The sequence below is a fragment of the Homo sapiens genome, chromosome 17 (genome assembly GCF_000001405.40).
Source record: "Homo sapiens chromosome 17, GRCh38.p14 Primary Assembly".
Classification (NCBI taxonomy): domain Eukaryota; kingdom Metazoa; phylum Chordata; class Mammalia; order Primates; family Hominidae; genus Homo; species Homo sapiens.
In genome coordinates, this window is record NC_000017.11 from 45966785 (window position 1) to 45990422 (window position 23638).

At 51.0% G+C, this 23638-nt stretch overlaps 1 protein-coding gene across 29 annotated transcripts in view, besides 1 other annotated feature; it reads left to right on the top strand.

Annotated features, from left to right (window-relative positions):
* MAPT (microtubule associated protein tau) overlaps positions 1 to 23638 on the top strand; it is a 133781-nt gene that overhangs the window by 72231 nt on the left and 37912 nt on the right. For 4 of the 29 annotated variants that reach the window (NR_165166.1, NM_001123067.4, NM_001203251.2 and 1 more), the window contains exons 3-5: positions 5075 to 5161; positions 11591 to 11656; positions 20256 to 20311. Coding sequence is in view for 28 of the 29 variants with exons in the window: in NM_001123067.4 (NP_001116539.1) it covers positions 5075 to 5161; positions 11591 to 11656; positions 20256 to 20311 (209 nt within the window). In the remaining variant the exon portion in view is untranslated. Of the gene's footprint in view, positions 1 to 5074; positions 5162 to 7600; positions 7688 to 11590; positions 11657 to 16081; positions 17147 to 20255; positions 20312 to 23093; positions 23292 to 23638 lie in introns of all 29 variants that reach the window. The other 25 variants (NM_001377268.1, NM_016834.5, NM_016841.5 and 22 more) reach the window with 12 other exon arrangements.
* Positions 22025 to 22216: a silencer, noted in NCBI's record as "fragment chr17:44066175-44066366 (GRCh37/hg19 assembly coordinates)". NCBI's record gives its function as "represses an EF-1alpha promoter that drives an FKBP-Casp9 reporter gene in an ReSE screen in phorbol 12-myristate 13-acetate-treated (for megakaryocytic differentiation) K562 erythroleukemia cells {active_cell/tissue: K562(+PMA)}" and the evidence as "EXISTENCE:reporter gene assay evidence [ECO:0000049][PMID:32094911]".

A 23638-nucleotide genomic window follows, 5' to 3' on the forward strand; every position in this document is an offset into this window, starting at 1 on the left:
GTGTGTGTATATATATATGCACTATATATACTGTATATAAAAATGCAAAATCTAAATTGCCAACCTTTTAGAAATTGCTCTGAAAGGAAAGCATTTCAAGATAATTTGCTTACCCAAAGAATATACTTTCCAAGAAAGCAAGTAATACTTAAGGTGTTCATAATCCTCATCAAATTAATTCTTGCTACTGAAAGCTTACAAGGAGCTGTTTTGATGTCGGGTGTGACAGGTTTGACTTGGCAGAAGGTGTCACTTTACTAACAACATTTTAAATAAGTGACAGAAGACAAGAAACTACACGTTAAATGCCAGAACAAAGAGTGTCTAAGTGGATGCTAAGAGTTGAAATATGGCTGGATACCTGCCCAAGAGAGCTGAAAAGTAGATGAAAGTTGGTTACCTATAAACTAGTGCACCCTAATGAATTAAAAGGTGTTGATGAGTTAACTTGTTATGCCTTCCAGATAAGACATGCAAATGGGGCTTCTTCCTCCTTCACTACTTCCAAGGGATTTAACAAGGAGACCAATGCAAATGATAAGGACTGTAGGGCTCAAGCTGGGGACAGATTGGGGAAAGGGGGACCATCATGCCCATATAGATGTCCCTGTGCCCTGGCAGTCAAGGCTGCTGAAAAATAACAAAACCCAGAAGTCTGCGTGATGCTGCCTCTCCATTTGTCCAAAGCCTTCTTGCGGCAGTTTGCAGGCTTTTGCAAAAGCTCCAGGACCAAGGAGCTATGTTCATGCTGGAAGCTTGTTCAGGATTAGCTGTTCTTTGTGGGATGGGTGCAGCCAGGGCCAGGTGTCCAGGGACAGTGTTTTAACAAAGGGCATGAGGTGTCTGATCTCACAGTGGAACTCCACTTGCCTTTTTTTCATCTTCTCATTCTGCTTCATGCACAGAACCAGCCCCATCCTGAAACTGACTCTAAATTACTCCCGCCCCAGGTGGAGTGCCTTTCTCGGAGTTCAACAGAGCCTTCCTGTCGCCCAAGGGACAACTCCACTGAATGCCCAAGCCACACCCAAAACCTAACAAGTAAAAACCAAATTCTGTGCTCCCCCATCCTGGGCCATTCCTGGTTTCTCTACTGCTGTTGGTGATACCACCATCAGCTTGTCCATCATGACCCTGGCCAGTTCCTCCCACAACCCTCCACAGCACCCAGGGACCTCACCTCCATTCCATCCGACACAGATCTCCTCACCACAAACCTTGGTTTTGCAACAGCAGCCATGAGACCTTTACACCCTCCGCCCTTCATCCTGTCCCCCACTGAGGCCCCAGAGCCATTCCTTAAAGCAGCGCGCCACAAACTATAACCCACAAGCCAATTCTGGTACCCAGCCTGTTTTGCACAGCCAGTGAACTGACAATGATCTTTTCATACAGCCAGAAAAACAAAACAAAACAAAAAACAACAAAAAAAAACCCCACCATTCTGAGCATGTGACTTCCATGTTCAAGATGTCTCATGTTCAGAAAGGCCCCTGGAAAAGGAGGAAGGGGAGCTGGGCACAAAGGGAGACCCTCTCAGCTGAGCTCCTCCCATCCAGACATTTTCCTGGACTTCCTATCCAATGACTTCCCTTAGCTTCTTATCAGCCACCCCTGTCTGCCCAGGAGGCTGGAAGATGTGGCCTTTTAACTGGGCACAGCTCTGTCCTCTATCATATCAGGGCTCTGTTCCCAAGGAGGGTAGAGAGAATGGACACCAGGTGGACCCTCAGCAGTCTGTGCCACAGAGGGAGTGTTTGCAATTTCCAGACTAAAAGTCCCCATGTGCTTGACGGGGTATGTGACTACAACGTGATGCTTGACTTTTCCTCATATGACCAGAGCCACTTTGTCCATCTGGTACAATGTCAGCTATCTGCTAGGGGCCCTCCAGGATTCCCAGTCAATTCCATATCTGCATCACCACCATTGGCACTAAATAAAATAAAATACTCAAGTTCCTGCTGGTGAGCATGAGCAGTGCTACACTGGGCCCTTCAACCAAGGTGACATGATAATGACTGAAAATAATCACTGCCACTTATTGGGGACGTCTCATCTGCCAGGCATGGTACAAAGTGCTTTAAATAAGCATTCAACAATTTCATGCTGACAGAAGCCCTGTGAGCCAGTGGAGCTACTACTATGCCCATTATACAGGGGAGAAAACTGAGGCAGAGAGAGGTTAGGTAATTCGCTCAGCCTCACACAACCAATAGGTGGTGGAGCCAGGATTTGGGCCCCATCTGCCTGACTCTCTAGAGGCTCTATCTTCCAGTCTTCCAGAGTTGAGTCTAAGCCATGAATAGGACAATTAGACAGCAGAGGAAACCCATTCAGCCACCATGTGCATGAAGAGTAAGGAATTTCTGTCATACAGAGGGGAGTGAATTCACTGAGCTGAGAGCTGAGGAACCATTGATCTGATGGCTGAGACACCACTGGGAAGACTGGAGAGGCTTTTCTGGGCATGCAGTGCCAGGCACAGGAGGAGCTGAGGGAAGATGACTAAGAGGTACTGGCAAAGAATTCAGAAATTCTGATGGAAGCTTTACATGTTACCATCACATCCATCCATCTATCCACCCATCCATCCACCCATATCTTCCTCCCTCCACCCAATCATGCATACATCCAGTCATCTATACACCACCCACCCACCCATCCATCCATCCATCCATCCCTTCATCCATCCCATCATCCATCCAATTATACATACATCCAATCATATATCTGTACATAATCCATTCTTCCCTCGGTTCATCCATCCATCCATTCATCCATCCATCCACCCATCCCTTCCTTCATCCTTCCTATCATCCATCCAATCATATATCTGTACATAATCCATTCTTCCCTCGGTTCATCCATCCATCCATTCATCCATCCATCCACCCATCCCTTCCTTCATCCTTCCTATCATCCATCCAATCATACATATATCCAATCATACATCTGCACATCACCAGCTCATCCATCTATCCATTTATCCATCCATCCTTCCTTCCATCCATCATTCATCCATCATACATACATCTAACCATACATCTCTACATCATTCATTCTTCCATCGATTCATCCAATTATCCATCATTCCTTCCTCCATCCATCCCATTATCCATTTGATCATACATATATCATCTATACATCATCCATTCATCCATCCATCCATCCATCCACCCATATCTTCATCCAATCAATCATACATACATCGAATCATCTACACATCACCCATCCATCCATCCATCCATTCATCTATCCACCCATCCATCCATCCATCCATCCATTCATCTATCCACCCATCCATCCATCCATCCATCCATCCATCCATGTAACCATCCAGTCATATATCCAATTACACATCCATCCAGTTATACATTCATACATGCATCTAATCATTCAATTATACATACACACATCCATATAATTCTACATCCAATTATACCTCCATCCAATTACACATTCATACACCCACCTAATAAATTATTAATTCATATATCCATCCATATAATTATACATCAATTATACATCCATCTAATCATTCAGTAATTCACCCACCATCCAGTCATCTATCCAATAATACATTCATCCAATCATCCATCCATCCATCCACCCATTCATCCATCCATCCGTCCGTCCACCCATCATGGTATGAGCCATGATTTACCACGATGGTCCCCTGTGGACAGCCCAGGTGGGGCAGAACTGAAGGGAAGCCCAGGGCTGCCCCCATAAACATTTGCCTCCTTTACATGGATGAGAACTAGATCCACATGTATAAATCCTCATGATTTGAAGGTGCTTTTACCAACATTCACTCATGGGATTCTCCCAGGAGCTCTAGGAGGAGGCAGGTAGAGTTGAGGTCATCTCACGCATTTTACAGATGAGGAAACGGAGGCCCTGAGAGGCAGGTCCAAGGCCACCTGACCAGAAAGAAGTGGAACTGGGACTTGAACCCAGCCATCTTGCCCCTTGGTCCCATGCTCTCTAGCCTGTAACTCCTGCTTCCTGGTGGGGCATCTCCAGGAGGACCCTATCGGCTGGCCATGGGCCTGCCCTGGAGTCTTTTGCTCTGTGTGGCCATCCTTCCTCCCTCAGGAGAGTGTGTGCTCCCAGAGCACAGGCTGTATCTTCTGAGCATTTTGTCCCTTCCCAGTACCTAGCACTCAGCTCTGTATACATTGGGCTCTCAAGAATTCTCAACCTTCCAGAGTGTAAGGCCTTGACCTGCTCAGCCCTGGATACTGCATGATGCATTGATAAGCCCATAAAATAACCAGGGCAGATTGACTCCCAGTGGCCAAAGTGCCACAGGGAAGGGACAATTCAGCCCTTCTAGGAGGAGGAGGAGGTAGTTTTCTCATTTCTATTAAGGCAACAAAAGCTGCCTTACTAAGGACATTCTTGGTGGAGGGCGTGACTGTCAACCACTGTGATCATTTGGGCCTCTCTTGCCCAGGCTTCCCATTCTGAAAGGACAGTTTTATTGTAGGTACACATGGCTGCCATTTCAAATGTAACTCACAGCTTGTCCATCAGTCCTTGGAGGTCTTTCTATGAAAGGAGCTTGGTGGCGTCCAAACACCACCCAATGTCCACTTAGAAGTAAGCACCGTGTCTGCCCTGAGCTGACTCCTTTTCCAAGGAAGGGGTTGGATCGCTGAGTGTTTTTCCAGGTGTCTACTTGTTGTTAATTAATAGCAATGACAAAGCAGAAGGTTCATGCGTAGCTCGGCTTTCTGGTATTTGCTGCCCGTTGACCAATGGAAGATAAACCTTTGCCTCAGGTGGCACCACTAGCTGGTTAAGAGGCACTTTGTCCTTTCACCCAGGAGCAAACGCACATCACCTGTGTCCTCATCTGATGGCCCTGGTGTGGGGCACAGTCGTGTTGGCAGGGAGGGAGGTGGGGTTGGTCCCCTTTGTGGGTTTGTTGCGAGGCCGTGTTCCAGCTGTTTCCACAGGGAGCGATTTTCAGCTCCACAGGACACTGCTCCCCAGTTCCTCCTGAGAACAAAAGGGGGCGCTGGGGAGAGGCCACCGTTCTGAGGGCTCACTGTATGTGTTCCAGAATCTCCCCTGCAGACCCCCACTGAGGACGGATCTGAGGAACCGGGCTCTGAAACCTCTGATGCTAAGAGCACTCCAACAGCGGAAGGTGGGCCCCCCTTCAGACGCCCCCTCCATGCCTCCAGCCTGTGCTTAGCCGTGCTTTGAGCCTCCCTCCTGGCTGCATCTGCTGCTCCCCCTGGCTGAGAGATGTGCTCACTCCTTCGGTGCTTTGCAGGACAGCGTGGTGGGAGCTGAGCCTTGCGTCGATGCCTTGCTTGCTGGTGCTGAGTGTGGGCACCTTCATCCCGTGTGTGCTCTGGAGGCAGCCACCCTTGGACAGTCCCGCGCACAGCTCCACAAAGCCCCGCTCCATACGATTGTCCTCCCACACCCCCTTCAAAAGCCCCCTCCTCTCTCTTTCTTCAGGGGCCAGTAGGTCCCAGAGCAGCCATTTGGCTGAGGGAAGGGGCAGGTCAGTGGACATCTGATCTTGGTTTAGTATCCTTCATTTTGGGGGCTCTGGGTGTGGCCTGGGCCTCTGGACTTTGGCCACGGTGTTTGTTCCAGCCCTTCTCCTAACCTGTCCTTTCCAGACACTCGGCATCTAGGTTATTAGCACCTCGCATACTTTCTGACATGCTCCTCAGTCCTGATTTTGACCATCTTCTCTTGCTTCCCATCTGTGTCAGTCAAGACTGCATTTGGCTGTAAGAAACAGAAACCCCAACTAACTGTGGCATTTACATGAAGAGGTTTACTTTTCTCACATAATCAGATGTCTAGACTTGGCCAGCACCTCAAGGGTCATTGATGCTCTCCTGTCTTTATTTTCTGTCATCTTTAGTGGTTGGATTGTTGCCTCATGGTTACAAAGTGGCTGCTGCACTTCCAGGCATCACATCTGCCTTTGAAGCAGGAACAAGTTGCAAAGTAAAGTGGCCAAAAGGGCCCTGAAACTAAATGTGTCCCCTTAGGAAAGCAGGAGTTTTCTTGCAAGTGGCAATCTTCTGCTTATGTCTCATTGGCCAGAGCTGGGTCTTACGGCCACCCCTTGCTGCGAGCAAGGCTGGGACATTGAGCATTTTGCCGTCCAACCTCTTTAGCAGAATAAACCAAGGGGGAAGAACGTTAATAGTGGCTTTTGAGTCACTAGTTGGCAGTATCTGCCCCTCTATCTTTCCATCCTCCCCATGGAGTTTCAAGGTTCCTTTCTCAGTACTTCTTCAGGCTCTGCACGTTCATTTGGATCTTGTGTCTTGGGGTGAAAAACTGGCCCAAGTGTCTCCCCAAGCATCCACCTTTGGATTAATTTGGAAAATGGCTGTCAAGTGCCCGCCTCTTGCTTGGTATAATGCTACAGCTTTAGAGGACGCAGCAGGCATGGGCCTTGCCGCTGAGGTTCTTAGCCTCATGAGAATATCCAGATCAGATTCTCTTGGCTCCTTCTTAGAGCCAGTGATGCAAGACACTTCCTGCTCATCTTGTCGGGACGGTTTTACAAGTTGCCTGCCATCCTGAGAAAGTCTACAAAACGATGCCAGACCTCATGCCAGCTTCCCAAGCCTTGACTCTCAGTGCTCCCTCAACAGGATTCTGGAAGAATCTCCCAAACAAGTCGCAATGCCCTCTGGACCCTGTGCAGGCATGAGACTCAAGAGCATTGGCTCCCACCCCTGGTGGAGGGAACACTGCTGGGGCTGGGATCTTGCCTGGTTGCTCCGCCTGCACCCAAGACAACCATAATTAAAATGTCCTTCATTGAACTTGGAAAGCCTTCAAAGCTGACAACTCCTTATGTGTACCCGGAAAGGCCTGGGAGTGTGCCAGGGCATTGCTCGGGAGGGACGCTGATTTGGAAGCATTTACCTGATGAGAGACTGACAGCAGCTCCTGGTAGCCGAGCTTTCCCTCCTGCCTCTGCTGTGAAGGTGGACCCATCCAACAGTCAAATGCCTGACTCTGGACAGGAGCGGACCTATTTATTGCCATGCAAGGGACTCTGCACTTTTGAATTGTGGGTCATGGGCTTGGATTTAGGGGTTAGAGCTGGGAGAAGTCTTGGAAGTCACCTAGAGATGACACTGCCATTTTGCAGATGAGGAAACCGTCCAATCAAAATGGACCAAGGACTTGCCCAAAGCCTCACAGCAAAACCATAGGCCCCCGCACTAACCCCAGAGTCCCTGTGCTGTCTTAAGGATCATATAGTTGTAAGCAATCATCTGGTTTTCAGTATTTCTTCTTTTAAAATGCCTGGGGCCATGCCCAGCAGTCTGTTTCACTGCAGCGTTTACACAGGGCTGCCGGGCTTTCCTGGTGGATGAGCTGGGCGGTTCATGAGCCAGAACCACTCAGCAGCATGTCAGTGTGCTTCCTGGGGAGCTGGTAGCAGGGGCTCCGGGCCCTACTTCAGGGCTGCTTTCTGGCATATGGCTGATCCCCTCCTCACTCCTCCTCCCTGCATTGCTCCTGCGCAAGAAGCAAAGGTGAGGGGCTGGGTATGGCTCGTCCTGGCCCCTCTAAGGTGGATCTCGGTGGTTTCTAGATGTGACAGCACCCTTAGTGGATGAGGGAGCTCCCGGCAAGCAGGCTGCCGCGCAGCCCCACACGGAGATCCCAGAAGGAACCACAGGTGAGGGTAAGCCCCAGAGACCCCCAGGCAGTCAAGGCCCTGCTGGGTGCCCCAGCTGACCTGTGACAGAAGTGAGGGAGCTTTGCGTGTTTATCCTCCTGTGGGGCAGGAACATGGGTGGATTCTGGCTCCTGGGAATCTTGGGTTGTGAGTAGCTCGATGCCTTGGTGCTCAGTTACCTCCCTGGCTGCCTGCCAGCCTCTCAGAGCATTTAGGGCCTTCTGGACTTCTAGATGCTCCTCATCTTGCCTCAGTCAGCGCGTCAGTTCCAGAGACTTCTCTGCAGGGTTTTCTGGGGCAGGTGGTGGCAGACCCGTGCCTTCTTGACACCTGAGGTCAGTCCACCCTCCTGCTCAGACTGCCCAGCACAGGGTCACCTCCCAAGGGGTGGACCCCAAGATCACCTGAGCGCACAGAGGGTGCAGATGACTGGACCACACCTTTTGGTGATCTTAATGAGGTGGTCCCAGAGGAGCTCAGACATGCAATCTAGCATCCAGTTCTGGGACTCTGTCTCCTTTTCAAACGTATTCATGTAGAACAGGCATGACGAGAATGCCTTGTCAACATGGGTGATGGGGAATCAATCAGACAGGGCGCCGGGCTCAAGGCTGCAGTCACCCAAGAGTGGCTCAGCCCACCAGGCCCTAGGAAACGCCTGCACAGCCTGGAGCTCCTGGAGTCATTTCCTTCATGTCTTCTTCACTGCACTTACGTAAAGATGCCAGCCATTGGTTTGGTGATTTGGAGGGTGCCCAGTTGCCCAACAAGAAATGCAGAAGAGGCCTAGCCAGGATTTCACCAGCAGTGGAGAGTAGAGAAGATGTGGCCAGAAAAGAGTTTCCTTTCCCTCCTAAAGATGGTACTCCCTGCAGCTACTGGGGAAGCCTGCAGCATTCTCTAGGGCTCTGTGTGTTGAGAGCAGCCCCACCCTGGCCCCTTCTGAGTGCATTTCTGCTTTGTGACTTGATCCGTGAAGTCCCCTGAGATGGGCAGAGGGGATGTCCTCGAAGCTGGGGCAGAGCCTCATCCTTGAACGTGAAGGACGTTTGAAGACTGTGGCATGATCACAGGATGAGATCACAGGGAACTTGAGTTTCTCTCCTCCTCTCCCTTCACAGTTATTTCACTGAGGGAAATCCCTCCCCTGCCCAGAATGAAAACTCTAGCCAACTCTTGACTTTTCCATCACTCCAAAGTAGTTGAAAGTACATTAGTCTCCACAGTGGCAAAACAGTGTGCAAAAGCTAAATAATTAGAACAGCCAGTCCCATGTGACAGTCAAAGCTTCTAACTCCATTCAAAGTTGCAGCCATTCCCCTCGAGGGCTGGCAGGGAGGGGAGGGGTAAGAGAAACAGGAAGGTTCTTACTGAGTTGGTCCTGGTGTGAGCTGCGTCACACTCCCTGCAGAGGTTTCAAGGAGACTCTCTCTCTCTCTGTCTCCATGGGGACCTTATTTGAATTCTTCTACTCTTACCCCAGCCTGCCATCTCCAGCTATCCTCCCCTGAAGAGCCCTTCTGCTGCGCTGGATTCTGGTGGCCATGTCATCTCCTCGGCCCCGTGGGAGTCTGAAGATCTGGCTGCAGCCTCACCTCTGAGGTCCTGCTAGTTGCCACCTCTTAAACATGATCTGAGGCTCCCATGCACTCTGACCTGTGCCCACATGGGGCCCACGGGAAACACGCTGGCAAGCAAACTGTGGGTGTGCAGACGGTTCTCAGGGCTGCAGCACCTGTCCTTTGCTCTGCCCCCAAAGCAAGGCCAGCCCATCTTCCATCCTCTAGTGTTCCTTGGTGGGGCCCTGACCACAGTCCACCAGGTCCCTAACCAGAGGGGACACACACCAGGTGTCCTCAATGTATTGCCTTGAAACAGTTGTGCTGGGACTGTGATGGGGGGTGGCCATGTAGCCACCCCCACCACCCCCAAGCCACTCTCTCCAAGGAAATCCTCCTAAAGATCCCTTTACATCCTCCATGTGGTGGGGAGGTTCTAGAGTTGGGTGCATGTGTCTTCAGCTACTGACAATGCAGACCTTAGTTGGCACCTCGCTCTGGCCTATCCTGTTTGCTGTTCTTGGCGCTCCAGTGAAACTCCCCATGGGCCATCCAGTTGGGGTGCAGTGTGGCCACCCCCTTGCAGGTTCCTGCCTTGCTGGAGAGCACAGGGCCCTCCTGGCTCTTGTAAAACACTCCCCATGGTACAGAGAGGCCAGCAGTGATGTGAGGCCCAACCTCCCTCCATGGTGTTCCCAAGCAGCTCCCTTTCTGGGGTCAAGGGGTGGCAAAGACAGTGCAGCGTCCAATTTCTGACTCAAGCCGGGCCTGGCTATCGCAGCTCTGCACTGTGTGTGACAGCAAGGCAACTCACCCAGTGCCGTGGCAGTGACCGTGTCCGAGGAAGCCTCCTCACACCCTCTGTCTCAAGGACTCTGGCATTTAGCTGGACTTGCTGTAGCTCTGAGCCTTTCTGCCATTGCCATCACCTTGTCAGAAACTCAGGCCGAATCTGCACTCAGAGTTGTGCCCAGGCAGTTGAGCCAACACTTGCTCAGCGATATTGTCACATGACAAGGCACTGTCACCACTGGGCATCGTGGGTAGCGCAGTGTCGGCTGGATGGACCCGGAGGGTGTCTGTGTCATGCTAGTGCTAGTGATGGGAGCCCCGTGAGCCCATTGCCCGCCCTCCCATGCCCTCAGCAGCTGCCTGGGGACAGCCAATGGCCTGGGTGTTTCTGAGGCTACCACATGGCTTCCAGGAAACTCGAGAACCTTTCTCTCCCTTGCCTACACTCTTCACACAGGCCTGTGCTGGCCAGCGGTGGGGATCCGGCATTCCTATCTTAGGTGCAGAGAGTGACTGACTCATTGCAGGCCTGGGAGATAAGACTGATGGCCCAGCCAGCAAGATGTATGGATTTCTCAGAGGCAGTGGCCTCTGTCATTGTCCTCAGGAAATGCTGGTGATTCTGGTGGCCTGAGGTCAATGCATGTCAACGTGGCCAACTTGCCTTATAAACTTTTTTTCTGGACAATTGCGTGCACTGTCCTGTAACAGTGTCCTGTTGTTTATGATGCAGAAATAGGTGTTTTTAAAGCCTATTGATTTTGGTACTATTAATGTGGTCAGGAACTTTCTCAGTCTTTCTTGTTTGGGGTGAGCTGTGGCTTCCTAAACAGGAACCCAAGACACCCCCAAAAGCTGCTCACCAGCACTGCCAGCCTCCCTCTTACCAAGTAGCACCCGTTCAGGACATTCTGCGAAAGGCATTTGCCCAGAAGTTGGGAGGAAGGAAATGTAACATTTTGGGGCACCTACCATATGCCAGGCACCAGGCTAAACGTGTTCACACAAATTCTCTTACTAACCCTCACCATCCTTCTACAAGACAAACTAGTATCTTCATCTTGGGGTTCAAGATGAGGAAATGGAGGCTCAGAGAGGTTGAATGAATGCCGGTGCCTGGATATGAACCCCATCTGCCTGACTCCGCAACCCAGGCAAAGTCTTTCCTTGAACTTCCCAGCAGCCACTGCTTAGACACAGCCTCCACAACCATGGCTCAGCAGCAAATTGCTTCTCTGACCTCACTCAGCCTGTGTGTCCTTGTTGAGTGAGGCATTCAGGACCCTGGTCCCAAAGTGGAGAAAGTCTTTCCTACTAGGTCATAGCTACACCTGCATGTGGGTGCTGTGCCTTTTGTTTAGTGAACTTTTATCACCAGCATCCTCAGCAATGACATTTGCAGAGAAGCCAGAGCTGAGGCACCTTGGTATTCTTGGGATGTGACTTTCCTGAATGTTTAAGGGAAAATGCCCGAAGGTACAGAGAGCTTGGTTTCTAGTAAACAATAACTGTCTTGCTTTTACCCCCCTTCATTTGCTGACACATACACCAGCTGAAGAAGCAGGCATTGGAGACACCCCCAGCCTGGAAGACGAAGCTGCTGGTCACGTGACCCAAGGTCAGTGAACTGGAATTGCCTGCCATGACTTGGGGGTTGGGGGGAGGGACATGGGGTGGGCTCTGCCCTGAAAAGATCATTTGGACCTGAGCTCTAATTCACAAGTCCAGGAGATTTTAGGGAGTTGGTTCTTATCAAAGGTTGGCTACTCAGATATAGAAAGAGCCCTAGTGGTTTTTTTCTAATACCATTTCTGGGTAATTCCTAAGGCATTTAGTGTTCTGAAAGATGCTAGCCTTGTCCAGCCTGGGAGTTGAGAATGAATGTCTAACAGAAACTCTAGGCCGGGCCTGGTGGCTCACGCCTCTAATCCCAGCACTATGGGAGACCCAGGTGGGCAGATCACCTGAGGTCAGGAGTTTGAGACCAGCCTGGCCAACATGTGAAATCCTGTCTCACTACAAATAAAAAAATTAGCCGGGTGTGGTGGTAGGTGCCTATAATCCCAGCTACTCAGGAGGCTGAGGCAGGACAATCGCTCGAACCCAGGAGGTGGACGTTGCAGTGAGCCGAGATCGCATCATTGCACTCCAGCCTGGGCAACAAAAGCAAAACTCCGTCTCAAAAAAAAAAAAGAAACTCAAATATGTGTGACAGGCGATTCTCACTGCAGGCTGCCCTGTGGCTGATCCAGGAGCAAGGCCTTAACCATGTCATCCCCAAGCGATTGCTTGTAAACTTTCTTCTGTGCAGCCTTCAACCCTTATTATGATTTTCTTCTCAGGAACCAAACTGCTGTATTCAAGAAAGGCAGCTTTGTGTAATCATTTATCATAAATATCTTAAGAAAAATCCTAGAGATTCCTAATTTTAGGAAATGGGAGACCTATGGTACTGATATAATGTGGGCTGGGCTTGTTTTCTGTCATTTGCTAGATAAATGAACTTGAGAGCCTACTGTAAAATGTGGAAGCTTCTAGATTGCAGAAGGGCTGGAAAGACACTGTTCTTTTCTCCCGAGTGATGGGATCTGTCCAGTATTTAGAGCTGCCTCTGAGGCCATCTGATTCTAGGAGACTCTGCCTCGTTGAGGATATTTTGAGGCCTAACTACACATTCCTGCCCCCAGAGAGGTCACAGCCTATAGCAGGCTGATGTTTCTCATGTCACATGGCACAGAAAGGCACATTTTCGTTCTCAGGCTAACAAAGAGCTTCAAAAACTATTAGAAGGGACAGTGGCTATAAGAGAAGAACCTCAGTCAATGTGTGAAATTAACTAGGAACCTGGCTCCTGTTTCTTTTAGGTCATGTTTTTCAGCTTAGGTAAAACTAGAGGCTTTGATAAAGCATGACCTCTAGAAATCATTGCTTTTCATAAATGGAAGTGGGTTTGAGTTTTTTCTACTGATTGTTAGTGCAGGTGATGTCTACATGCCCCCAGAACATATTCCATGCAACAAAAAAAGCCCAGGTCACCGTCTTTGCTGGGAACTTGACTTTTGTGCTCACTGAATTTTAAGCTTTCTGACAGCAGCCTGGAATCATGGAGGGATAAAGTACCTATTAGTAAGATGGAAAAAGGTGTTTCAGGTTGGAGCTGCAGTCTGTTGAGAGTAAGCTATGGGAAGGCCTGTATACGAGGGGTGGACTTTTCTTCTGTAAGTGTCCAGAGACCAGGCCTCCTGAAGAGGGCATGGGGGCTTAACTTACCTGGACTACTGTGTTTACAATACTCATTTATCTTGAACTCCTCCTAACCCCTGAGAATTGCTACATTTAGTATTTGCTGAGTACTTCCTAGCATCCTAGGGAATCAATAGAACATTCTCCCAACCAGGCTGGGTGCGGTGGCTCATGTCTGTAATCCCAGCACTTTGGGAGGCCAAGGTAGGCAGATCCCTTGAGGCCAGGAGTGCAAGACTAGCCTGGCTGACATGGTGAAACCCCGTCTTTACTAAAAATACAAAAGTTAGCCAGGCATGGTGGTACACACCTGTAATCCCAGCTACATGGGAGGAGTAGGAGGCAGGAGAATTGCTTGAACCTGGGAGGTGGAGGTTGCTGTGAGCCGAGATCATGCCACTGCACTCCAGCCTGGGCGACAGAGTGAGTGAGACTCTGTTTAAAAAAAAAAAAAAAAAGAACATTCTCCTAACCTGGCTTCTTCCTCCAGGGGTGTAATTAATCATGTCAGTTTCCTCATTGATACACACACACACACACTACAATCCTGTATCCATTACTTTTCAAGGTACATTTACTATTTACGTTTGGGGTCCTTGTCTCTTTTTTAATAGTGTTTCTTAAAGTCTTGTATTATATCAGAGTACAGTAACATCCCAGTCAAGAGCACTCTAGTAAGCTCTAGGAGGAAAGCGACTTCCGGAAGGCAGTGGAGACCTGTCCTGTTGGGGCAGCATAGGGGCAGCCCCTGCCTCTGGTCAGTTCTGGCGCTCAGGCTCAGGGTTGCCTCTGGGCTGTTCTTCCCAGAGACTGACAAAGGGCTCCCATAAGGCACCTGCAGAGCCTGTGAGAAGCTGAAGTCAATGTTTTCCTGACACCAGTTGATCTGTGCAGGATCCATTGATTTAACCACCTGCTGTGTGGCATGCACTGTGGTCGATGCCAGGAACAGGAATTGGAGGGGCCCATGAGCATGGCCAGTATCACAGGCTGGAGGTGCTGCTGCGCTCTGACCGGGCCTCTTGGGGATGAGCCCATGTCAACCACCTTGCCTCCGATGGGGTCGGGCCCACAGGTTACCTTTGTGTGTCCATGACCACACCTTCCTCCCCGACCTCATCCAAATCTCTTTCTTTTCCAAGCCCCTGAATCCTTCAGGGCTGCAGGTTTTGTTTAAAGCAGAGCTGGTGAGTTGCATAGGTTGTTGCATTGGGACTAGATGGGGTGTTCAAAGAGTTGGGAGTTAAAAAACATAAAGGGTATTTATTAGGAGAACCAAGGAGTGTAATTCTCCTGTTCTTAATATGCGGCCAGGTTAATGAATGTCACGTGAATGAACCAGAAAAAAATGAAGTGTGCCCTTGATCAGCTGGGTTGGTGTGCAGCAAGCTGTGTGACCAGGGGACAGCAGTGGTCCTGAGGGCCGTCACTGTCTGCCGTGCAGAGCCCTTCCTCCCACGGGGGCCTACCTCACCTGTGCCAAGGGCTTGTCTGTGGTCAGTGACCTGGATAGATCTGAATGGGGCTTCTTTTTCGAGGAGTCTTATGGCAGGTCTCTCAGTAAAGACTCCATTCTTGATGATCACACATTTTGGATTTTCCAAATCTGTCAGAGAATGGGCTTGAGGCGGGGTTTGTGGGCACTAGTTTCACTGGTTTCATTTACCAAAAAGGGGAGCAGAAGTCAAGTATGGTGGCTCATCCCTGTAATCCCAGAGGCAAGAGAATTGCTTGAGCCCAGGAGTTCGAGACCAGCCTGAGCAACATAAGGAGACCCCGTCTCCACAAAAATGAAAAATAACATTTTAGTCAGACGTGGTGGCATGCATCTGTGGTCCCAGCTGCTTGGGAGGGTGAGATGGGAGGGTTGTTTGAGCCCTGGAGTTAAAGTTGCAATGAGCTGTGATTGCACCACTGCACTCTAGCCTGGGTGACAGAACGAGACCCTGTCTCAAAAAAAAAAAAAAAGAAAGAAAGAAAGGAAAAAAAAAACTCATGCCTGTAATCCCAGCACTTTGGGGACCGGGGTGGGCAGATCACGAGGTCAGGAGATCAAGACTATCCTGGCCAACATGGTGAAACCCCGTTTCTACTAAAAATACAAAAATTAGCCAGGTGTGGTGGCACGTGCCTGTAATCCCAGTTACTCGGGAGGCTGAGGCAGGAGAATCGCTTGAACCAGGGAGTCAGAGGTTGCAGTGAGCTGAGATCGTGCCACTGTACTCCAGCCTGGGCGACAGAGTGAGACTCTGTCTCAAACCAAAAAAAAGGGGTGGGGGGCGGGGGCAGGAGAACAGTGAGAGGTAGGGAGAGGAAAGGGGATTCTCGCTACACCCAAACCAGATACCATCTAGAGGCTAGAATCTTTGGGAGGCTCAAATTCCCTAGAAAGCAGGAGAAGCTTCTGTAGCCCTCCCGCTTTCCCAGTAGATTAAGCCCAGGGCGGCTCCAGATGTGTGACATGCTCTGTGCCCAACCAGAGCCCATCATAGGCAGAGGAATAACACCCACACCAGAAGGGCCCTCGGAGGTCACCACGTCCAAGAACCCTCTTTACAGATGAGGAAACTGAGGCCCAGAGAGGGGAGAGCCACCTAGCGAGCTGGTGGCGGCTAGACCAGGAGAGCTGTCATTCCAAGCAAGCAAAGGCAACGAGACGAGCCCAGAGCTGTGCTCCCATCTCTTTGTTAGGGGGCCTGGGATGCCCTCTCAGTGTCATTTTGTCCAGGATGATGCTCCCTCTCTTAAGCGATTAATGCGCCCTTGCTAACCTTTTGCTATCGCTGCCTCTTCAAACCAGAGGAGTTGAGAGTTCCGGGCCGGCAGAGGAAGGCGCCTGAAAGGCCCCTGGCCAATGAGATTAGCGCCCACGTCCAGCCTGGACCCTGCGGAGAGGCCTCTGGGGTCTCTGGGCCGTGCCTCGGGGAGAAAGAGCCAGAAGCTCCCGTCCCGCTGACCGCGAGCCTTCCTCAGCACCGTCCCGTTTGCCCAGCGCCTCCTCCAACAGGAGGCCCTCAGGAGCCCTCCCTGGAGTGGGGACAAAAAGGCGGGGACTGGGCCGAGAAGGGTCCGGCCTTTCCGAAGCCCGCCACCACTGCGTATCTCCACACAGAGCCTGAAAGTGGTAAGGTGGTCCAGGAAGGCTTCCTCCGAGAGCCAGGCCCCCCAGGTCTGAGCCACCAGCTCATGTCCGGCATGCCTGGGGCTCCCCTCCTGCCTGAGGGCCCCAGAGAGGCCACACGCCAACCTTCGGGGACAGGACCTGAGGACACAGAGGGCGGCCGCCACGCCCCTGAGCTGCTCAAGCACCAGCTTCTAGGAGACCTGCACCAGGAGGGGCCGCCGCTGAAGGGGGCAGGGGGCAAAGAGAGGCCGGGGAGCAAGGAGGAGGTGGATGAAGACCGCGACGTCGATGAGTCCTCCCCCCAAGACTCCCCTCCCTCCAAGGCCTCCCCAGCCCAAGATGGGCGGCCTCCCCAGACAGCCGCCAGAGAAGCCACCAGCATCCCAGGCTTCCCAGCGGAGGGTGCCATCCCCCTCCCTGTGGATTTCCTCTCCAAAGTTTCCACAGAGATCCCAGCCTCAGAGCCCGACGGGCCCAGTGTAGGGCGGGCCAAAGGGCAGGATGCCCCCCTGGAGTTCACGTTTCACGTGGAAATCACACCCAACGTGCAGAAGGAGCAGGCGCACTCGGAGGAGCATTTGGGAAGGGCTGCATTTCCAGGGGCCCCTGGAGAGGGGCCAGAGGCCCGGGGCCCCTCTTTGGGAGAGGACACAAAAGAGGCTGACCTTCCAGAGCCCTCTGAAAAGCAGCCTGCTGCTGCTCCGCGGGGGAAGCCCGTCAGCCGGGTCCCTCAACTCAAAGGTCTGTGTCTTGAGCTTCTTCGCTCCTTCCCTGGGGACCTCCCAGGCCTCCCAGGCTGCGGGCACTGCCACTGAGCTTCCAGGCCTCCCGACTCCTGCTGCTTCTGACGTTCCTAGGACGCCACTAAATCGACACCTGGGTGCAGCTGCTCCACTCCCTCGGCCTCCTCCCGTGCTCAGGCTGTGGCCGCACGCGCCCCTCACGCTTGCCCGCCACTCTGCATGTCACCAGCACCCCCGCTCCGTGCTACCCACCTTGTTTGACTCTCTGGCCACTTGATTTGTCCACAACGGCCCATCAGCCCACAGGAGGTTTGGTGGGTGCCTTCCACCGACAGGATGACGGGTGCCCTCATGGTGTCTAGAACTCTCCAACCCTCCCATGTAGGCATAAGCAGCCCCACTTTGCAGATGAGGAAACGGAGGCTCAGAGAAGTACAGTAACTTGCCGAAGGCCAATGAGTAGTAAGTGACAGAGCCAGGTTTGGGATCCAGGTAGGTTGTCTCTGAAAGACACGCCTGTCCTGCATCCCACAACGCCTCCCAGGAGGTGCTGGAGTGTGGACGCCTAACACAGAGATGTGCAGGGCACACACAGCAGGTGACACACACAGCATCCAGAGGTGGCCCAGAGCTCATGCTGTGCCTTTGGCCCAGTGCCCTGCCCCCACCCACTCTGCCTTGTGGCAGGAAGACAAGGAGCAGACACAAGATCTCCCTGGTCCACATGCCACCACCTCCCTCTGCAGAGGACAAGGGGATCCTCATGCTGGCATTGGAGGGGGTTGAGCAGGGCCCACCTTGAGCCCTCAGGAGCACGACCACAGCAGCCCTGCAGGGAGGGATTGGTGGGAGGAGAGTCCCAAGTATCAGGGAGAGGAGAGTTGGTGTCCCACAGGAGACCTCAGAGCCACAAGGCGAGCTTGTTCATAAATTTGGGACCCTTAGCATTTCACAGTTATTTGCAGAGCCCAGAAATGGATGTTACTGAAGCTCACAGTTGCAAGCATCTGTTAAATTTTTATTAGATTTTACTTTTAGGGAAAACTTTGAAATGCTATAAAGAAGCCTGTGTTTAAAAGTTAAGACAGAGGCTGGGGGCGATGGCTCACGCCTGTAATCTCAGCACTTTGGGAGGCCAAGGCAGGTGGATCATTTGAGGTTAGGAGTTCGAGACCAGCCTGGCCAACATGGTGAGACCCTGTCTCTACTAAAATTACAAAAAATTAGCTGGGCGTGGTGGCGGGCACCTGTAGTCCCAGCTACTGGGGAGGCTGAAGCAGGATAAGTGCTTGAACCCAGGAGGCAGAGGTTACAGTGAGCCAAGATCACACCACTGTACCCTAAGCCTGGGCGACAGAGTGAGACTCTGTCTCAAAAAATAAAATAAAATAAAGTTAAGAGAGAAAAAAATATATCCTATATCCTTTGTTAAATTCCAAAACAGTAGGGGACAAATAACTGACTTGACAGGTTACTACAATATTTCCTGAAATGATGTTTTCTTGAATACTGGCCTACTAGAGGTTCATAGGTGTGTTTGGATTAAAAAAGAGTTCCATGGCCCAGTGACTGGGGGAAAAAAATAAAAGACTAAAGTAAGTTAAACAGGCTTTTCTGCTGCAGGACTTGTCAGAGCCTTTAATGTACTAATGGCCATTGTGACCCTCTGAGAAGGTCACAGAGTGGGTTTCCCAAACTTACTTGATTCTACCTGCTAACATTTCCTGGAGGAAGTTTGGGAAATGCCGATTTAGCAGATTCTTTTGTTGTGCCGTGGATGGTGCTGGTTGATGTGGGCAAAACAAAGAACACGTGAGTCAGATCCGCCTGGGGCTCTTACTAAAGTGCAGGTTCCCAGGTGCCACTTTAGGCTTACAGACCCAGTTGTGGGGTAAGCCTGGGAGTCTTTTAGCAGGTGATTCTGCCACATAGTATAGTTGGAAAACCTCTGGGCATACTCATTGCTGGTCCCTCTAGAAATCCAGGTGACAATAGCCAATGAGAAGCTCCAAGAGACCCAGTTGTCCATGGGGTAGAGGGAATGTGATATTGAAACCAAAGAAGAAAATCTATGATCAGTTTTCAGCAGTGACTGTCAAGAGAAGGAGAAGGGTGAGTTAGCGCTGATGCTGGCTGACAGGTCAGCGGGTTGGTTTCACCAAGGAGTGTGATGAAGGCTGATGTTGTCTGTGGGAATGTATGATGGTAACTGGTTTGTAGCTAATTTGGGGAAGCAGTGAGAATTCGTGCCCTTTGAAGACCAGTAAGTGGCAAGAAACCCACCAGGCCTGGCTCAGGGCTGGGCTGGGCTTGGCTCGTCTCAGAGCAGCTGGGGCTGGTGGCCAAAGCCACCATTAGTGAGGGGCAGGCCCTGGGGGTACAACCAGCAACTAGGGGACAAAGACAACCCTGCCAGCCTCTCCTATTCTGGAGGCGTGTGACCAGAAATGGAGATGGGTTGGTCAGCATAAGATGGCCAGGAAGGTGGAAATCAGGACTGCTGGCAATCTAGCCACATGGGCAGGGGAGCCGGGTGGTTCCAGGCAGTTTCCAAGGCCAAGAGGGTGAGCAGGCACCTCACAGGGAATCAGGGCCAAGCCTGGCTGCAGTGTGGAGACAATGCACCCACCCCCATCCTTGGATCTTGCAGGAGGCTGGGTCCTCACTGAGCTACCAACATCCATGGCCCTGAGGCTTTTAAAACACCCATCCATGGAGTGGGGCTGGTCCCAGTGGGGTGAGGCTGACCCTGGCAGAAACAGGGCAGGAGCCTGTGGGTTAGGGAGACTGCACCTTCCTTAGATAGCCTCCATGCCATCATGTCCCCGTGACAGTTTCTGCTGCGTCCCCTCTGCATGGTCCCACCCTCGGCCAGCCTGCTGCCCCCTCTTGCCAGGTTGCGCTAATCAGTGACCCCAGTGTGCTGTGTTGATACTAACAATGCGAGGCCTAGCAGATTCAAGGGAAAAGAGAACCAACTGGGTTTCCACCAGACCCAACTAAACAAACATGGACCTATCCCAGAGAAATCCAGCTTCACCACAGCTGGCTTTCTGTGAACAGTGAAAATGGAGTGTGACAAGCATTCTTATTTTATATTTTATCAGCTCGCATGGTCAGTAAAAGCAAAGACGGGACTGGAAGCGATGACAAAAAAGCCAAGGTAAGCTGACGATGCCACGGAGCTCTGCAGCTGGTCAAGTTTACAGAGAAGCTGTGCTTTATGTCTGATTCATTCTCATATATAATGTGGGGAGTATTTGTCACTAAAGTACAGCTGTCATTTAAAGTGCTTTGTATTTTGGGGCAGGCTTTTAAAAAGTCCAGCATTTATTAGTTTTGATACTTACCCCAGGGAAGAGCAGTTGGCAGGTTCATGAAGTCATGCTCCTAATTCCAGCTTTCTTAGTGTACTTTCAGTGAGACCCTGACAGTAAATGAAGGTGTGTTTGAAAACCAAACCCAGGACAGTAAATGAAGGTGTGTTTGAAAACCAGCCCTAGGACAGTAAATGAAGCCATCTTCTCACTGCATAAACTGCACCCAGATCTTCGCCCATCCTTCTCAGTATTTCACTTCACCCATTGTTTACTGTCTCAATGACTGGGGAAATGTCTGGGGAAATGCTCCCGTAATTGCACAGTGGCGTTTTTCCTGGAAAATCCCACCATGGCTCTAGATAAGACCTATTTTTCTTAAAGGTATCTAAAATTTCCAGCATAAATTCTGTCTGAAACACCTGAATTTTAATCAGTACTGGAGCCCGGAGGGCATCTCCAGTTGCCACATAGCTCTGAGCATTCAGTGGTGTGTTGAGGGCTGCTCCCGGAAGTGCCTGCAGAGTCAGGGCTCCCCAGCCTCATCTAGTGAGGCAGTGGAAGGGCCTGTGGGGATTTGGAGAGCTGGCCTGGGTCTCTGAAGTGATAGTGACAGCTGCTTGTCAATCACGGTGCACATTTAGTGCTGGGGGCAGGGGGCAGGGAATACCAGCCTCATGCATGCATGCATTCATTTGTTCCTTCCTTCATTCATTCATTCAGTACACATGGGTACAACATCCCTGCCCTGGAGTTGCCCAGAGTCTAGGGAGGGGAAAGATCTATTACCCTGGGCCTCGGCCAGCTGGGGAGTGCTGCTGGTGGAGAGGGGCCGTGTGCAGCGAGGGAAGGAGGAGTCGTCAATACCCCCACCCCAGCTTTGCTTTCTTGTCATCAGCCCCAGGGCCCCAGCCTGTGTCCCTCCTCTCCCATTGCTACTTCATCTCCTGGGTCCTCCTTACCAAGCCTGACCACACAGAGGGCCTTGGCCGCTTCCATGGGGAATTGGAAAGCAATAAGATAGCATCCCCTAGAAGCCCAGTGAAGTCTGGGACAGGACCCTTCTCTGAGCTCTGACTTGCTCTTGGAAACACTTCGAGGCTTAGCCTCCCCACTTTGTTTCCCGAGAGTGTGACCTGTTCCCCTCCAAACACCCCCTTCTCCTCCAGGGCCATGCCCACCCGTCAAAATCCCCCACGGGCAGGACGAACTGTGGGTGTCAGTCACCATCTATCCTGCATCCTGGTTCCAGGGCCCCCCCCAGCCCCGCCTCCATAGGGACAGGCGTGCAGACACCCGTCCCTGGCTGCTTCCTCTTGTGGAATGGGTTCAAAAGTAAGCAGTGTTGTTTACACTGACAAACTGAAAAAAAAAGAAAAAGAGATAACATTGGAGGCTTGGCACAGTGGCTCATGCCTGTAATCCCAGCACTTTGGGAGGCTAAGGTGGGAGGATGTCCCCAGCCCAAGAGTTCTAGACCAGCCTGGGCAACATAGCAAGACCCCATCTCAAAAAAAAAATTTAATTGGCCAGGCAGAGGTGGGAGGATCACTTGAACCCAAAGGGTGGAGGCTGCAGTGAGCCGTGATGGCACCACTGCACTCCAGCCAGGGCAACAGAGGGAGACCCTGTCTCTAAAACAAACAAACAAACAAACAAACAAAAGAGTTAACATTGGCCAGATTAGGATTCACCAGATAGTGTTAATATTAGTTTGATTTGAGACTTTAATCAGAAAGCACATGTGTGGTGGGGGTGGGTGTAACCTAAGTCAGGTAGAATCTTTCCAACTTGGGGGGGGCACACTCCTGATTGTAGCCATATGAGTCTGTCAGTGTGGTGGAAGAGGCCATGGGTTAATGGGCAGGTAAAAAAGCACCTTGCCTGGAATTGAGTAGAAAGTAAGGCCCTTCAGACCCCGTGACACACTTGGGGACATTTTCTTGAGTAACATCCTAAGATTCATGTACCTTGATGATCTCCATCAACTTACTCATGTGAAGCACCTTTAAACCAGTCGTCTCCAAATTCAGGGGCACAGTAACATCCAACAGGCTGGAGAAAGAACGTACTAGAACTTCCATTCCTTTTTCATGTCCTCTTCTAAAAGCTTTGTCAGGGCCAGGCGCGGTGGCTCACGCCTGTAATCCCAGCACTTTGGGAGGCCGAGACGGGTGGATCACGAGGTCAGGAGATCGAGACCATCCTGGCTAACACAGTGAAACCCCATCTCTACTAAAAATACAAAAAAACGAGCCGGGCGTGGTGGTGGGCGCCTGTAGTCCCAGCTACTCGGGAGGCTGAGGCAGGAGAATGGCGTGAACCCAGGAGGCAGAGCTTGCAGTGAGCCGAGATTGCACCACTGCAGTCCAGCCTGGGCGACAGAGCGAGACTCCGTCTCAAAAAAGAAAAAGAAAAAGAAAAAGAACTGTGATTGGGGAGGACGGTCACTTTCCTGTTCTTACTGATCAGAAGGGATATTAAGGGTACCTGATTCAAACAGCCTGGAGATCACTGCTTTCAACCATTACCTGCCTTATTTATTTTTAGTTACTGTCCTTTTTTCAGTTTGTTTCCCTCCTCCATGTGCTGACTTTTATTTTGATTTTATTTATGTTTATGTTTAAGACATCCACACGTTCCTCTGCTAAAACCTTGAAAAATAGGCCTTGCCTTAGCCCCAAACACCCCACTCCTGGTAGCTCAGACCCTCTGATCCAACCCTCCAGCCCTGCTGTGTGCCCAGAGCCACCTTCCTCTCCTAAATACGTCTCTTCTGTCACTTCCCGAACTGGCAGTTCTGGAGCAAAGGAGATGAAACTCAAGGTAAGGAAACCACCTTTGAAAAGAACCAGGCTGCTCTGCTGTGGTTTGCAAATGTGGGGTTTGTTTATTTGTTTTTTAGCCTCAAAGACCTTTCTTCAAATGAGTTCTGGCATAGAAGCACCGTGTAAAATAGTTAGAATTCTGGGCAAAGGGGAAAAGAGAGCTGGGGGCCATCCCTCTCAGCACCCCACAGGCTCTCATAGCAGCAGCTCCTAAGACACCTGGTGGGACCTTGGTTTCGAAATCGCTACTCTAAGGCTGGGCACGGTGGCTCACACCTGTAATCCCAGCTCTTTAGGAGGCCGAGGAGGGTGGATCACCTGAGATCAGGAGTTCGAGACCAGCCT